This window comes from Homo sapiens, chromosome 8 (assembly GCF_000001405.40).
Source record: "Homo sapiens chromosome 8, GRCh38.p14 Primary Assembly".
NCBI lineage: Eukaryota > Metazoa > Chordata > Mammalia > Primates > Hominidae > Homo > Homo sapiens.
The window spans coordinates 29,510,447-29,527,134 of record NC_000008.11 but is presented as its reverse complement, the minus strand read 5'-3'; the positions used below and the strand labels follow the sequence as shown (position 1 = coordinate 29,527,134).

The 16,688-nt window shown below is 43.9% G+C and overlaps 1 long non-coding RNA gene across 1 annotated transcript, besides 4 other annotated features; it reads left to right on the top strand.

Annotated features, from left to right (window-relative positions):
• Window positions 682-941: an enhancer, noted in NCBI's record as "active region_27200". NCBI's record gives its function as "activates an Ori minimal core promoter by ATAC-STARR-seq in GM12878 lymphoblastoid cells {active_cell/tissue: GM12878}" and the evidence as "EXISTENCE:reporter gene assay evidence [ECO:0000049][PMID:35858748]".
• Window positions 972-1,021: an enhancer, noted in NCBI's record as "active region_27199". NCBI's record gives its function as "activates an Ori minimal core promoter by ATAC-STARR-seq in GM12878 lymphoblastoid cells {active_cell/tissue: GM12878}" and the evidence as "EXISTENCE:reporter gene assay evidence [ECO:0000049][PMID:35858748]".
• Window positions 3,013-3,062: an enhancer, noted in NCBI's record as "active region_27198". NCBI's record gives its function as "activates an Ori minimal core promoter by ATAC-STARR-seq in GM12878 lymphoblastoid cells {active_cell/tissue: GM12878}" and the evidence as "EXISTENCE:reporter gene assay evidence [ECO:0000049][PMID:35858748]".
• Window positions 4,344-4,845: an enhancer, noted in NCBI's record as "H3K27ac hESC enhancer chr8:29379807-29380308 (GRCh37/hg19 assembly coordinates)". NCBI's record gives its function as "activates a minimal SCP1, AML or CMV promoter by ChIP-STARR-seq in primed H9 embryonic stem cells {active_cell/tissue: H9 hESC(primed)}" and the evidence as "EXISTENCE:reporter gene assay evidence [ECO:0000049][PMID:30033119]".
• LOC107986883 (uncharacterized) lies at window positions 13,290-15,715 on the top strand. Its single transcript, XR_001745702.1, has 2 exons — window positions 13,290-13,374; window positions 15,213-15,715. It is a non-coding gene; the product is annotated as an uncharacterized LOC107986883 (long non-coding RNA).
• The last annotated feature ends 973 nt before the right edge of the window (window positions 15,716-16,688 follow it).

Here is a 16,688-nt window from a genome sequence, read left to right as displayed (position 1 = left end):
TGTAAGTATATTTGTAGATAAAGTTTTTAAAGAGATGATTGAGTTAAAATGAGGCCATTAGGGTAGGACTCTAATCTGATATAACTGGAATACATTCCAATCCATTCAAGTCCCAAAGCTTGCATGATCTTGCTACACCCACCAAAATCTGTTTCATAAGTTCAGAATGGAAAAGGAAGAGACACCAGGCACACACACGCACAGGGGACGACCAGGTGAAGAGGGAGGAAGAGGGTGACTATCTGCAAGTCAAGGAGAGAGGCCTCCAAGGAAACCAAATCGCCCAGCACCTTGATCTTGGACTTCCAGCCTCCAGAGCTGTGAGAAGATAAATTTCTGTTGTTTAAGCCACTCAGTCTGTGGTATTTTGCTGCCCTAGCAAATGAATACAATCTGTTTTACAGAAGAATCATTGAAGAGCCTTCTACATAGTAGGTGTCTGGTTAGTTTTTGTCCTTACACAAGCTGTGCCCTTACACAAGCTGTGCAGAGGGCGTGGGATCCGCCTGATGGGGACTTTTTCATGCCGAAGCTCCTTCACTGAGAGAGTCTGCCAAGCACCCTGGAACGCACATGCTGTCTGGCAAGAACGCCCTCTGCCTTGGACAAGACTGGAAAGATAATGACAGATTTGTCAACTCTCCTTCAAGCTGCCACCACCTTCCTGTTAGCACTTGTCATTACAACAAACCCTTTCTTCATTTCAACATCTTTCTTAATGTGCCTCAATCTCTAAATACCAGCTCAATCTCTAAATACCAACTCAATCTCTAAATACCAGCTCAATCTCTGAAGAGCAACTCAATCTCCATGACATCTTTTAAAAGTTCTTAATGAATCCTGGAAGCTACTTGGACTCACAGATAAAATTTCTCTCAATGTAGAATGAGTTATTCATCGGACACAGTCATTCTAGTTTTCACACCCCTTGGGTGCTGATTTTGCTCATTCTAGGAGCCCTGCCTTTCATATCTGACTGCCCTGACCTGCCGTTGTCCTTGCATCTATGGTCTCTTGTGATTCATAAGATCACCATCTGATCTTCTGAAGTTTACTTGAACCTCCTAGTCCATGAAAGAAAAAAAGACTATTCATATTTTTGGTTGGCACCACTATGACTACCTGTATCTCTCATGTTGTTTAAAGCAGATATTCACTCAGCTCTAAAATATTACACAATACTCTTTAAAACGGAAAGACACATCCATTATACCGAACTGCTGTATTGGCTAGTGGCTGCTGAGCGCTTGAAATGTGACCAGTCTGAATTAAGATGCACTGTAGGCCGGGCGCAGTGGCTCATGTCTGTAATCCCAGCACTTTGGGAGGCCGAAGGGGGCGGATCATGAGGTCAGGAGATCGAGACCACCCTGGCTAACACAGAGAAACCCCTTCTCTACTAAAAAATACAAAAAATTAGCCGGGCGTGGCAGCCATCACCTGTAGTCCCAGCTACTTGGGAGGCTGAGGCAGGAGAATGGCGTGAACCCGGGAGGCAGAGCTTTCAGTGAGCCGAGATTACACCACTGCACTCCAGCGTGGGTGACAGAGTAAGACTCCATCCCAAAAAAAAAAAAAAAAAGATGCACTGTATGTGTAAAATAGACAACAAATATTGGACTTGGTATGAAAAATAAGAAAGTAAAATGTTTCATTAGTAATGTTTTAGGCCGGGCATGGTGGCTCACGCCTGTAATCCTAACACTTTGAGAGGCCGAGGTGGGAGGATTGCTTGAGCCCAGGAGTTTGAGACCAGCCTGGGCAAAATGGCAAAACCCCATCTCTATAAAAAAATAAAAAATTAGCTGGGTGTGGTGGCATGTTCCTGTAGTCCTAACTACTTGGGAGGCTGAGGAGGGAGGATCACTTGAGCCCAAGCAATAGAGGCTGCAGTGAGCCATGATCGTGCCACTGCACTCCAGCCTGGGCGACACAATGAAATCCTGTCAAATAATAATAATAATGTTTTATATTGATTATACCTTAAAATGATAATATTTTGGATATATTGGGTTAAATAATGTATATTCAAATTAACTTCACTTATTTCTTTTTGGTTTTGTTTTCAACACATCCATCACCACCCATGCTGTATATTAGATCTCCAGAACTTGTTCCTCTTACCCAGTTTGTACCCTCTGACTAATATCTCCCCATTTCACAGAGAGCACTGTTCTACTCTCTGCTTCTGTGAGTTCAACTTTTTTAGATTCCGCAAAGTGAGATCAGATGGTATTTGCATTTCTGGGTCTGGTTTATTCTTTTTACTCTTTTAATGTGAATTCTAGAATGTTTGAAATTATGTATGTGGCTCACATTCTGTTTCTATTGCCGAGCTGTTAAAGAAGGGAAATTGAGGCACAGGAATGTTGTCAAATGACTAGCTCTGGGTTTCATGAGACTCAGAACTAAATGAATGACTGATAGCCTGGGAAAACCTCACCCACTAAAGGAATATGGCCAAATGAAATAGGAATGGCACCACTGGATGTGATTCCTTTGAAATATCTCTCCAGCCCTGAGATCATTTATCACTTAGTATCTCCTGAGAAGGAAGCAGGTGCAGATGAAATCAGCCCAGAAGATCAACAGAAAGCCGTATGGCATATGAGTCTTGAAGGGTAATGAATGAGCTAAGAATTTTCCATCTCTGATATCTAGAGCAGTCATAAGACAGTTCTTTACTCCCACTACCACATCAGAACATATATGACTAAAAAAAATAGTGAAACTCATATGACAAATATTTTCACTCTGTTATCTCTTCTTTATCAACAGCAGTTGGGGTGGTTGATAGCCACTCAACAAATCTCCAAATGATGTCATCTAAGGTTCTGAAACAATCATTATCTTGTGTAGGGACTCACTTGGAATACGTGCATTGCATCTAAGCAAAAATATGAGGAAAAGATAGGGCGCCTCAGCTGATTTTGCCTCAGCCCATACAGAGAGAAAACACCAGCATCCAGTGTGCCAAATGTCACTGAGTTTGGGGGCTGAGCTCCCAACAGAGAGGTCCTTTTCTCAGCCAGATCTTGTCTGTGCCCTCGAACTCTCAACCTAATCAGAGCCATTCAGGGAAGATGCCTGCTCACCTGTCACAGCCTAAAATGCCTTCCTTATCTGGAGGTCACCACTGCAGCATCCTCCGCAAGACAGGCAGAAACATTGATGTAAGAAGAAAACAAAAACAAGCCTGGGAACAGCCTGAAGAGCTATCGGTTAAGTTTATAGGAAACTTATTAGGTTCTTTCCAGAGCTTGTTTATTCTTGCCCTCATATACGACCATAACGAAGTAATTTATTAGTTTCAGTAGAAAGGAGTGGGAGAGAAAAAAGGAAGAAAATACTGAGACTGACTCTGAAACGACGTCAAAGCAGCAAGAAAGAGAAAGATGATGAAAAATAAATTCATGAATTCAAAAAGCATCACAGTTTATAGCTGGTTGATGTAGTTCTATAAGTTTCAATACAGTGTTTGTTTTGTTTCTGTTTTGTTTTTGTTTCTCTTTTTTTGAGATGGAGTCTCTCTCTGTCATCCAGGCTGGAGTGTGGAGTGCAGTGGCGCTACCTCAGCTCACTGCAACCTCCGCCTCCCAGGTTTAAGCAATTCTTCTGCCTCAGCCTCCCGAGTAGCTGGGATTACAGGCACCCGCCACCACACCCAGCTAATTTTTGTATTTTTAGTAGAGACAGGGTTTCACCATGTTGGCTAGGCTGGTCTCGAACTCCTGACCTCAGGTGATCTGCCCACCTCAGCCTCCCAAAGTGCTGGGATTACAGGTGTGAACCACTGTGCCAGGCCCACAATACAGTGTTTTGAACACCAAAATAAAATAGTAGTTATGATCATTGGTTATGCTTAAAACTTGATCTTCGTATTAATAACCCAAAGCATTCATAGAGGTTTGTATTTTGTTCCCTGTTTTCTGCTTTAAAAAGCACAAAGATATATGATGCTTAGAAACAGTTTGGTCACATTTCCTTAAATGTTTAATCCCTTGCAGAGAGGAATTTGTATATTTTTCGTTCCTCCAACAATACCCCATAAAAGAGGCTTTGTTAGAGAAAGCATCCTTATGGTGGTCACGGAACATATGTCTCAGTAATCCCCGGACAGAAGTCAGTTGTCCCATCCTTAAGAGCCCTAATGTGCCTCCTGCACTCTGCACACCATTTGTGCAGTGGCCGCGTGGGCCAGCGTCCTGGCAGAGGCACCGCTCAGGGCCTGGCTGGCTCGGCTTCCTGAGTCAGCACACTCTCCTCTCCATGGAGCAGATGGGCCAACCCTCCGGGAAAGGAAGCTCTTCTAAGATCCTCCTGTCTTCATTCGTCCCAAATGGGCTTTGCTATAAAAAGCAAATTAAACAGCCATTGTTCCTTTTCTCCATGAGGCTGGCATGCTAACATCCTGCCTAATACCAAAGCTCCCGGATGTTTGTTGCTGGCCTGGGGACGCCTGCCACCGCTTACAGCAATAAGAAAAAACATGCCTTCCACTTGGGAACAGAATCTCTCTTAAGTTCCAGGCCTTTCTTTTTCATCATGTCCCTCCCCCCTTTTTTTAACGTTATGACATATAGTACACAGCAGAAAAGGGCTTTCTTGTTAGCTCCAGCATTCTTCTCCGTGCCTGGCGAAGTACTCCCACGGCCTTACAAATAGGCTTAGGCGTCTAATCACAAGAGATCCTGAAGGCCTGGCCCTTAAATCTTCCCTGCTACGTGATGTTTCTCAGTGCAACACTTACTGCATTGTGTTCTGGAGTCCTTCTGAAATACCAAGAAGTCACCCTCCTCCCAACCTAAAGAAGAACACATAAAATACTTTCTGAAAAGACAAACAGCTAAGGGTAAAATAATAAAGCCATATTGAGCCCCTACAAGGCAAGGCCCTGAGGGGGAAAAAGAGAAGTAAAACATATCATATGTCTTCAAGCAGCTTTTGGTCTCTGCAGAGAGAAGAAAAACTGGGAAAAAGAGAGAGAAGAGAGAGAGGGAAATTGAAAGAGAGAGAGAGGAGAGGCCACCTGGATTTACCATTTATTACATTGTAATGTAATTGCTGGTGTAATTTTCTCTCCTTTCGCTGTACACTCCAGGATCGATAATTTAGGCTTCTATTTTATATGTAAACTATTTCAAATTCGATTTTTACAGAAATCTGATATTTATCAGCAACTCACTGAAAGCCAAGCCATCCTGAAGTGGCTCATGGGGCTGTTTCTCCTAGGAGAGTATCTCTGCAACTTCTTTGTGGACCATCCAAAGGTAATTCAGCAGTGGCTGAAATTCTATTCGATAAGCTGAGATCCCTCTTTTCACACTTCTGTATGGTCCTATGAGTGCCGTTAACCACAGAGCTGTCTCTCTCACTGATGGAATTAATAACTTACTGGCCAGGGACAGTGGCTCACGCCTGTAATCCCAGCACTTTGGGAGGCAGGCAGATCACTTGAGGTCAGGAATTCGAGACCAGCCTGGCCAAAATGATGAAACCTCGTCTCTACTAAAAAAAAAAAAAAAAATTAGCCGGGAGTGGTGGCATGTGCCTGTAATCCCAGCTACTCAGCAGGCTGAGGCAGGAGAATCACTTGAACCTGGTAGGTGGAGGTTGCAGTGAGACGAGATCACGCCACTGCACTCCAGCCTGGATGAGAGAGAGAGACTGTCTCCAAAAAAAAAAGGGGGGAGGAATTAATAACTTACCACAAACAACTCAAACATTCAATTCATTACTCTTCAATAACCCTAAGGCAGGAATTCAACAATGCAAATAAACCTCAGGAGAGTTCCAGATACAAGGTACCAGAGACAGGCAGTTCTAGGAAAGTGAGTCCCAGGAGGAAGAATATGTCAGAACAGTAGGCTTTTAGCCAAAAGGATTTTCAAAACTAATTTCTCTTCCATCTTTTAGAGAGAAGACTAGATATTTTAAATACTAGTTTTTGAAAGCCAAGCATATTCCTGGGACATTTCACAGTTACTTATTCACTAAACCACTGCTAAACTTGGGGGTCTTTTAGGTTTCCAACCTCAGCTCCCACATGAAGCTTTTCAAAATGAAACCTTGGTATGTGTTTACTGAACAGCTTCTCTCTACATGGTCAAGCAGACTTAATCTCAGAAAAGGAGAGACATTTCTGGTAAGTAAATGACCCAAACAGGAAGTGAGCCCATGACAAGTGCGTAGAATGTGCTGGAAGGTGTGCAAAGATGAGGAAGGTCCTTGGGGACATAGCTCATGCTTTTCCCAGCAGAGCTCCTCAGCATCGTGGTCTTTTCCCCCTCACCCCCCTGCAAGGAGAGTCCTGGCAGGAAGGTGCCAGCCAGGACCTCTGTGGCCAGTAGGAGCTCATTTCCTGGCCCATGGCTTCTACCTGATGCTGTGATATTGACCAAGCTAACATTATAGGAGATGCAAATTATATGTTTCCTATGACTGCTGTCACAAATCACCACAAATCCGGTGGTTTGTTTGTTTGTTTGTTTGTTTGTTTGTTTGTTTGAGACGGAGTCTCACTCTGTCGCCCAGGCTGGACTGCAGTGACACCGTCTTGGCTCACTGCAACCCCTGCCTGCCAGGTTCAAGCGATCCGCCTGCCTCAGCTTGGGATTATAGGCGCGTGCCCTACGCCCAGCTTATTTTTTGTATTTTTTTTTAGTAGAGACAGGGTTTCACCATGTTGGCTAGGGTGGTCTCAAACTCCTGACCTCAAGAGATCCGCCCACCCAGGTCTCCCAAAGTGCTGGGAGTACAGGCATGAGCCACCGTGGCTGGCCCAAACTTAGTGGCTTAAACAATACAACTTATTATCTTTCAATTCTGGAAATTGGAAGTCAGAAATGGGTCTCACTGGGCTAAAATCGAGGCATCAGCAGGACTGTGTTCCTTCCGGAGGCTCTAGGGAAGAATCGGTCTCCGTGTCTACAAGAACACCCTCAAACTGCACCTTCCTGTATCTTCAAAGCCAGCGAGGCCGGTTGGGTCCTTCTGACATTGAGTACCTCTGACCTACGCTTCTGCCTCCATCTTCTAAGGTCCTTTGTGTTAACATAAGATAAACCAGGATAATTCTTGTTAAAGTCAGCTGATGAGCAACTTTAATTCCATCTGCAACTTTAATTCTCCTTTTGCCGTGCATTATAACACTCACAGATTCTGAGGATTAGGATGTAGACATCTTTGGCGGCCAGTGGGGAGGGAGGTGAGGGCACACTTTATTCTTCCTACCACACAATCAAACCAACATAAATAGGATGAAAGATGGGGAAGCATGCCCTCTAGATTAACACAACGAAAATGTGAAAACACCAGACAATGCAAGTTAGGTGCAAGCTTTAAAGTGAAAAAACACAAGACAGTCATGGGCAGGGGCCAGAACACCCCCATGTGTCAGGGGACATGGTAATGAAATCAAAGAAGGATGAAGCCCTCCCAGAGATTTTTGATGTGTGAGAACCAATAGGAACCTCGAGAAGTCATAGCGCTACCTTTATTGAGTGCTCCTACACTTTTGTGGTCATTTTGGTGCAATATTTGAAGATATTAAAAGATGCCAACCAACACAAAGCAAGCTGTCAACCATTGCAGCACTTCACATTGCCTTTAAAAGCACCCAGCCGGGCGTGGTGGCTCACTCCTGTAATCCCAGCACTTTGGGAGGCTGAGGTGGGCAGATCATGAGGTCAGGAGTTCGAGACCAGCCTGACCAACATGGTGAAACCCCATCTCTACTAAAAATACAAAAATTAGCTGGGCATGGTGGCACACACCTGTAATCCCAGCTACTCAGGAGGCTGGGGCAGGAAAATCACTTGAACCTCGGAGGCGGAGGTTGCAGTGAGCCAAGATTGCGCCACTGCACTCCAGCCTGGGTGACAGAGCAGGACTCCATCTCACAACAAAAAAAAAAAAAAAAAAAGTCCAGGTGTGGTGGCTCACACCGGTAATCCCAGCACTTTGGGAGGCTTTAGCGGGCAAATCACAAGGTCAGGAGATCGAGACCATCCTGGCTAACACGGTGAAACCCCGTCTCTACTAAAAATACAAAAAATTAGCCAGGCATGGTGGTGGGCGCCTGCAGTCCCTGCTACTCAGGAGGCTGAGGCAGGAGAACGGCGTGAACCCAGGAGGTGGAGCTTGCAGTGAGCTGAGATCGCACCACTGCACTCCAGCCTGGGCGACAAAGCGAGACTTCGTCTCAAAAAAAAAAAAAAAAAAAAAAAGAAAGAAAAAAGAAAAGAACCAATGGTTTTCACACTATTTATTCAATTCCCACCCCTATCGCTTTCAACTCTGAGTCAGGATTGAAAAGAACTGTGTACAGTCCTGACAGTTCAAGAGACAAAGTTCTCACATGTCCCAGTAAACACATGATTTTTTTTTCCCAAGAGTTTGCCCATAGCAAATTGTTTTCCTATTAGCCTAAGTGTTGAACTGGATTTGAAAATCTGGCAAATATCTTGTGCCCATTTAGACTCACAGTACAGAGGGGACCTCCTCGAGAAGGGCTTGAGGGATACCAGTGTATCTTTGCACACTGTTTGAGACCCATGGACTTCTTAAGAGCCAACTCAAATCTTTCCTCTCATCTGCCCAGCAACACTTTTTGGCAGATAAGGAAAATTGAAGTTCCAGCAGACCTGAGACAGAACCTAGTATGTGCTACCCACCTGTAAGTCAGAGTTTTTCTGCTGTGTTTGCTGTCACTCATGTAATCATCCCTGGTTGCTCTATTCTTCCTATTGCATTAATTATGGAGAAGATGGAGTTCCTGGCTGTTATATTATAAACCATATATATATGTTATCCGGATATGCAGTGGGGGTCAGTAAATATCCCTTTCTATCTCTTCTCTAAATTTTCCCAAATTCAAAACTTCATTATTTTTAGTTTTCCTATGAAATATTATATCCATTAATCTCTGTGTCTCTTTCTCTCTGTTGACCTCTCTGTACTTCTGTCTTCAACTCTGTCTCTCAGTCATCTCTTCCTCCATCACTCTCTCCCTCTTTCTCTCTTGCCATCTCTCACTATCTCTTCCCTTGCTTTAGAAATTCACTTCATGGTGTCAGATCCATTTTTGTAAACAAGAAGAGACAAGTGCTATTCCAAAGTAGATTTTGGGGTACTTCCTTATCCTAAGCCACCTCATTCATTTTGTCCCACCACTGTTGGGCCAAACAGTCTCAGGTTTAATGCACTTCACTTTCTTAATATGACTTACAGCTCTGTTCTTAGTCTCAGTCCAAACCATTGGTCAGGTACTCATCCATTCAAGCCCTGCAAATCAATCTGCTCTGCTGATTTCTGCCTTTTCCTTCTTCTTTATTCATTTTACCCACACTTTTAACGTTCCATCCAAAGTGTTCTCATAGGAAGGTTTTTTACCCAGACACCTACCCACTCCACTCCTACCCTTCCCCATCTGGTAAACTCCTCTCATCTTCTAGAATTTCCATCAGTCCTGCAAAATTGTCACAACTACTGTGTTTAACAAACACACACTTCACTGTAGGGTGCAGGGATATTTGCATAATACCAGGTAGCAGCTTTTTTGAATAAAATTCAGAGGAATGGTCCAATATTATAATTCATGAATGTAAATTCATTCAGGAATGGCAATATGTTAATCAATGCAGGCTCCTCCCTTCTTCCTCAGAGAGGGATTTTGCCCTGTCAAAGAAAAAGGAACAAGTCTAATCAAGATATCCAATTCACTTAGTTGCAGAGGTTTGTAACTCTTCTGGGAGAGTTTTTGCAAAGGAAGAGCTTTGTTCAAAGGCATCCATGCTAGAGAAAGCCCCAAGGTTCAGAACAGCAATTAAAATTAAAATCAGCCAGAGTGGAGGTGAGGCAAGAAGAGCAGAGAACTGATTGTTTTCCCTGATGAGGCGGACAGCTGTGGCAGGACAGGATTGTGTGAAGATCAGAGGGTAGGGGAGGCAGTGCCTGGCTGGTCTAGAAATCTAAGGTTTCTTTACATAGGGAGGGGAGGGAGAAGATACAGCCTGGCCCCAGTGCTTGCTTTGGTTAAACTGGGATGTTTTACCCCACTGTCTGGACACGAGAAGTAGCTACTTTCCAGAAGGGTAAAATTATTTTGTTCCCACCTTTAAATGCTCAGGAAAAATATCAAATGGGAAAATTGAACCGGGAAAAAAAACAGTTGATGCCTTGAAACAGAACCCAGTAAAAGTGAGAACTTTTTCTTTTCTTTCTTTTCTTTTTTTTCCTTCCTTTCTCTCTCCCTCCCTCCTGCTACCTCCTTCCTTCCTCCTATCCATCCCTCCCTCCCTTCCTTCCTTCCTTCTTCCTTCCTTCTTTCCTTCCTTCCTTCTTTCCTTCCTTCCCTCCTTTCTCTCTCTCTCGCTCTCTTTCTTTCTTCCTTTTTGAAAAAGGGTCTTTCACTCTCACTTAGGCATGATCATGGCTCACTGCAGCCTAAACTTCCTGGGCTCTCAAGTAATCCTCCTGCCTCAGCCTCCTGAGTAGCTAAGACTGTAAGTACACACCACTATACCTGGCTAATTTATTTTAAATTTTTTGTAGAGACAGGGACTTACTATGTTGCCCAAACTGATCTCAAACTCCTGGGCTCAAGCGATCCTCCCCCTTCAGCCTCCTTAGTAGCCGGGACGACAGGCACAAGCCACTGCACCTGGCTAGAGGCAGGACCCTCATTCAATACGTGGTGACGAGGTCCCTGAAAAGAATGCCCCAAAGCGTTCCAGACTACATAGAAATTCTAGGAGCTTTCTTATACCCAAAAGAGGAAAAACTATCATTTATCAGCAGTTATTATGTGCCAGACATGATTTATTGCTCCAAAAGTATTGCAATTCTGCAAGAAAAATATTTTTAGGCCCATTTTACAGTTGTGGGAACTAAGGTTGTACCAACTAAGAAGTTGGTAGAGCCAGGACTCAAAACCAGCTCAGGCTAATTCCAGAACAGATGTTCTTTCATTCTTTGAGGGAAGGAGAGAAATGTACATCCCTCAGTACACTGTAATTTAACAGACTTCCTATAAGAATCCACTAGTTCCTACCTTTAGGAAATTAGTCTGAATGCGAGTCCCAGTTCAAATGCTTTTCTCCATCATTCCTGTGAACACTTGTATTATTGAATCATTATTCTTGATGATATTTCAAAATTATGACTATTTAGAATGAAAACTTCAACTGTCAGCACACAAGAAGGGATTCTTCAAGAGAAAGATACTACATGGATGATTTCTGATAGGCCTTTTGTAAATCACCTGTATCAATGATCCCGGCTGCACGTCAGAATCACCTGGTGATATTTTAAAACTAAATGCCCAACCTTAGGCCTGGAGCTTCTGTTCTGTAGGTTTGGATCCAGGATTAGCAATCGTTCCTATTAAAAAGTTGCTATGCTTGTGTTGATCTGCAGCCGGAGCTGATACCCACAGACACAGGGCAAAAACAGATTACAGATTTCTTCTCTGTTCTGTCACTTGCAAATGCAATCACAATGCAATCAAAGAGAGGCATAAATCCCTGATCCAAAAACTCTTCCAGAGCAACACAAAGCAATCACAGAATCGTTTTTTAAAAATGCAGGCCAAAGCTAAGCATAAACTAGGGCAGGAAAACCACCAGATGTGAACATATTAAGCTTTATTTTAAGGGATCTCAACTGGAAATTGTTTAAACGGGAGCATGAGTGCAGTGAGGTGGCAGATGGTGAGTGGCCCGGAGGAGAAAGGCAGCCTCCTCTCGCAATCCTACCTTAATCCAGTCCCACCTCTCTGGTCACCACTATGGGAGGTGCTGAACTGTTTCTTTGGCACAACTGCTCTCTGGCTATACTGGAGCCATTCCCATTTTAATCCAGACTTGATCCTTTCAAATAGACAAAGTCTCAAATGTCACCATTTTCAGAACTGTAACTGTAACAGTAATATCCCAAAATGTATTACGCATTTGCCTTATGTACCGAAGCTCATCATCATCCCCATCATCAACAGTCTCCATAAAAGTCTGGAGTTTTATTTATTTTTATTTATTTGTGGGGAGGGGATGGTCTGTACAATTTTTATTGGAAAACCACATGCAGAGAAGTACCCAAGCGTAAGGACTAACTTGATGAATTTTCACAAAGTGAACACAGCTAGGATGGAACCAGTACCTATATCAAGAAACAGAATATGAGTGTGGGCTGTTTTTGGACTTAATACAAATGGAATCATATATGTACTCTTTGGATCTGGCTTCTTTCAATATTATTCTTTCAAATATTAGGTTTGTAAGATTCATCTGTGCTGTGTGTAGTTCCTTCCTATTCTTTGTCTAGGGTTCCAAAGTATAGTATACCACAATTTATCCATTCTACTTCTTTAAAACTTTTTTTAATTTTTAACTTTTATATATTTAGAGGGAAAAGTGCAAGACGTCTTACATGCATCTATTGCACTGTGGTGAGGTCTGGGCTTTTAGGGTGCCCATCACCCGAATAGTGAACATGGTACCCAATAGGTAATTTTTCAGCCCTCACTGTCCTCCCATCCTCCCACCATCTGTGGTCTCCAGTGTCTATTATTCCACTCTGTATGTCCATGAGTAACCATTGTTTAGCTCAGCTCCCACTTGTAAGTGAGAACATGCAGTACTTGAAAGGCCAGAGCTTTAAAACCAAATGCACAGAGAGAAGAATGAAAGTGTTTCCCATGGGCCTTAGAATGTCAGGAAGAACTGTCCACCATGCACGCTGTCTTCATGGATGGTAGTCTGAGGACAGTATGCCAGCACCAGGATCTCCTACAAGAGCTGCATCCGCCTGCTACAAGGTCCAACTTCTGGGATTCACCAGGTTAGTTCAGAAGAGCTTTTGTTTTTTGCTTTTGTTTTGAGAGGGAGTCTCGCTCTGTTGCCTCGGCTGGAGTACAGTGGCATGATCTCGGCTCCTGGGTTCAAGCGATTCTCCTGCCTCAGCTTCCCAAGTAGCTGGGACTACAGGTATGCACCACCACACCCAGCTCATTTTTGTATTTTTAGTAGAGATGGGTTTTCACTCTGTGTTGGCCAGGCTGGTCTCAAACTCTTGACCTCAGGTGATCCACCTGCCTTGGCCTCCCAAAGTGCTGGGATTACAGGCAAGAGCCACTGCGCCCAGCCCAGAAGAGCTTTGGATGTCTTCCAATAGCGTTGTTTTAAGAGTTTGGCAGATACATTTCAGGGTCACAGAGAGACATCACAATAGCCTCTAGTAAGCAGAATAGGGGTGTCAGCACAGAGGGTCATGTAACCTGAACAGATGAGGCTCTGGAAGGAAGCAGGCTGTGCATTCCCTGACAGCCCTTTCCCTGAGGGGATGAAGCAGAAAGGTGAAGGAAACATCCCATGGAAAGTAAGACTTAATGAGCCTTTCTGTGAAGGGCGGGGAAGAATGAGCCTGACAACACTGAGGCTGGGAGAGAGGACAGCCCATGAGAAGTGAGGTCCATTCCAGGCAGCAGAAGTTCAGTGTGACCAAAGTACAGAATTATAGAGTGGGAAGCCCCAGGGGTTAGAGATGAGGCTGTGAGGCAGGCCCTGCAAAGCATGTTGGGAAGTTTAGACTTCACTCGAGATGCCATGGGGTACAGCTGCAGGGTAAAGCCGGTGAGTGATAAGAACAAATATGCAATCCAGAAGATTATGCAAGCCAAGAAATGGACTAAAAGAGTGAGTCACCAGTAAGAGGAGATGAGCTAGGAGGCCAGACAGGAGAAAATGGTAGCCAGGGTGAGAATAAGAGAAGAAAGTGAATAGAAGAAACAAAGGATCTCATAATGCTCAGAGGCACTGTCAGCAAGACCCGAGGGTTCATTTGTTTGATGGAGGCAGGAAAGGTGAAAGACAAAGAGAGAAGAGAGAGTAAACACTTCATGATGATTCCAGCACTATTTATTGGGAGCAGAGAGATACTGGGACCATTTTGGACTTCTGAGTTTGGGTTCCTGGGACATCCAAGCAGAGGTGTCCAGTAGGCAAGTGACTAGCAAGCCTGGAGCTCATTCAGGACACTTCCCTTCTCCCCATCAAGTTAATTTTGCTCTTCTGTCACCTCTTTATATTTCCCTCCCGGTGACATATAACCATCACCAGAAAATTCTCTAGGGAAAGCTAATGCCATAGGCAAATGCCCAGTGGTATGCTGGTAAATGTTGACAATTGCTTATTCCCATCCCACCGTCCCTCAAAAAGCCCTGATTTGCAGCATTTGCCAGTTTCCATGGTGTCAATATTGTCTGTATGGCCAGGTTCAAGACACCAATGTGACATCACTGCATGTGGAATTGGGAAGAGATGTGTAGAACCAGAGTTCACAAGCCTGAGTGAACCAGTTCCACAAACCAAGGCACACACCCATCAAACCCAAAATAAATAACACCCCAAGGCAGAGTGCAAGACACACTGACCCATCAGGCCAATCCAAGTGACCTCTGCTCTCGAAGACCTGTGTCGTACAAAAGTCCTAGAAAAAAATAATTCTATGGGTGCCTGGGAATATCATAGACCTTAAGTGAAATTGAGCTGAACCCTAGTTTGATCCCTGTTCTCTAAAGGAAGGATCAGCACTTTACAACCTCAAAGTCAAATTTGGCCAGCAGCCTGACTTTAAAGTCAGCCTGCTAAGAATAATTTTTACATTTTTTAACTAATTTTTTTTTTTAGACACAGAGATCTCACTGTGTCATGCAGGCTAGAATGCAGTGGGGCGATAATAGCTCACTGCAGCCTCAAACTTGTAGGCTCAAGCAATCCTCCCACCTCAGCCTCTCAAGTAACTGGGACATATAGGTGTATGCCACCATGCCTGCTATTTTTTATTTTTATTTTTTTATTAAGAGACAAGATCATGCTATATGGCCCAGACTGGTCTTGGACTCCTGGCCTCACCTGATCCTCCTGCTTCGGCTTCCCAAAGTGCTGGGATTACAGGCATGAGCCACTGTGCCCAGACAGTTTTTACATTTTAAAATGGTGGCATTTTTAAATAGTTCTGTAAGTACCTATATAATATCCTTGATTTTGCCTGTTAGCACACAACCCCCAAAGCCTAAAATATTTACCACCTGGCCCTTTAAGAAAAAGTGTGGTGACTACTGTTTTAAAGAGCCCTGAAGACAAAGCCAGATCTGCTTCCTAATGCCTCCTGGGCACCACCAAAGCAAGTACTTTTTTTTTCCTCTCCTCTCCCAGGCCATCTCCAAGCTCCTCAGATTGGGAAAACACATATCGAAATCAGGAGGCCAGATTGAATTAGCCTCTCCACTCTCAGGCTCCTTTGCCACTTGCTCCATCCAGGGCTCATCCTGGGCTTCTCTGTCTGCTCCCTCCCCTGCTGGACTCTGCTGAAGCCAAACCACAGGGTGTGAGTCAGGCTTTCCCAGGGCCGACCTATGCAACCTGGAAGTGCAGGGCTTAGCTGCCCATGGGACAAACCTTGACTTACAGGACACAAAAGATACAAGGGAGCTAGCAAATAAATCGCCTCTCCACTCTTCCCTCCAGTGGATGGTTCTGAAGCATGATATTCCTGTGTAACCTGTCTAGATTCATCCTGTGGAGTCAAGCACCTAGCTGTGTGCCTTGTGAAACAGCAGCCGGTTCAAAAAGCCACCTTCTCTACCTCCTTTCTCTTTCCCTTCATTCTGGCTTCCCTGGGATTGTACCTCTTAATAAAATTTTAACACTTAAGCTGAGCATTAGGCTCTTTTTTCTAAGAGACCTGCCTAAGAAACCAGATGGTAAGGTATTATTTCTGATAATCCATCCCTTTCCTAAAGCAACAACAAACTAGGTCACCATGCCGTACCCCTTGAATAACTTCAGATGGCATAAGGCTTTAAAAAAGGCATGAAAAGAGCTTTTTTAGAGTCTTCTAAAAACCAAAGTGTTATGTGGTGCCCTTTTAAAAGCCATAGGATACATCCACTAGAAAAGAAAACCCTGAAAAAAGTATGAAAAATAATAGTGGCAACTAAAAGAAAGCCACCAGAGGCAATGAGCCCAGGAAAGCAAGACTAATTCAGTGAAATTTCTCAGTGGAGGCCAAAAGACTCATGACTCAGGATATTTGGGCTGCAATCTGACCTCAAAGGTGAGGGCCAAATAAATCCATTGGAATGGATCTTACTCATTTATTGACTAGGGAACTTGAGGAAGAAGCTTGATCTGGGACAGAAATGAAAGGAAAATAGAAACCCAGACAGATAAATAGAAACCAACTGTAGAAATGTAGTGGGTTGGCCAGGCACAGTGGCTCACATCTATAATCCCAGCACTTTGGGAGACTGAGGTGAGCAGATCACCTGAGGTCGGGAGTTAGAGACCAGCCTGACCAACATGGTGAAACTCCACCTCTACTACAAATACAAGATTAGCTGGGCATGGTGGTGCATGCCTGTAATCCCAGCTACTTGGGAGGCTGAGGCAGGAGAATCACTTGAACCTGGGAGGCAGAGGTTGCAGTGAGCCGAGATCGCACCATTGCGCTCTAGCCTGGGCAACAAGAGTGAAACTCCAACCCCCCACCAAAAAAAAAAAAAGAAAACAGAAAGAAATGTAGTAGGTTAAGGTGCATTGAGTGAATTTTAGGTAATGTGACAGTGCCAATGTATCTGTAACTTATCCACTGATATGGTTTGGATCTGTGTCCCTGCCCAAATCTCATGT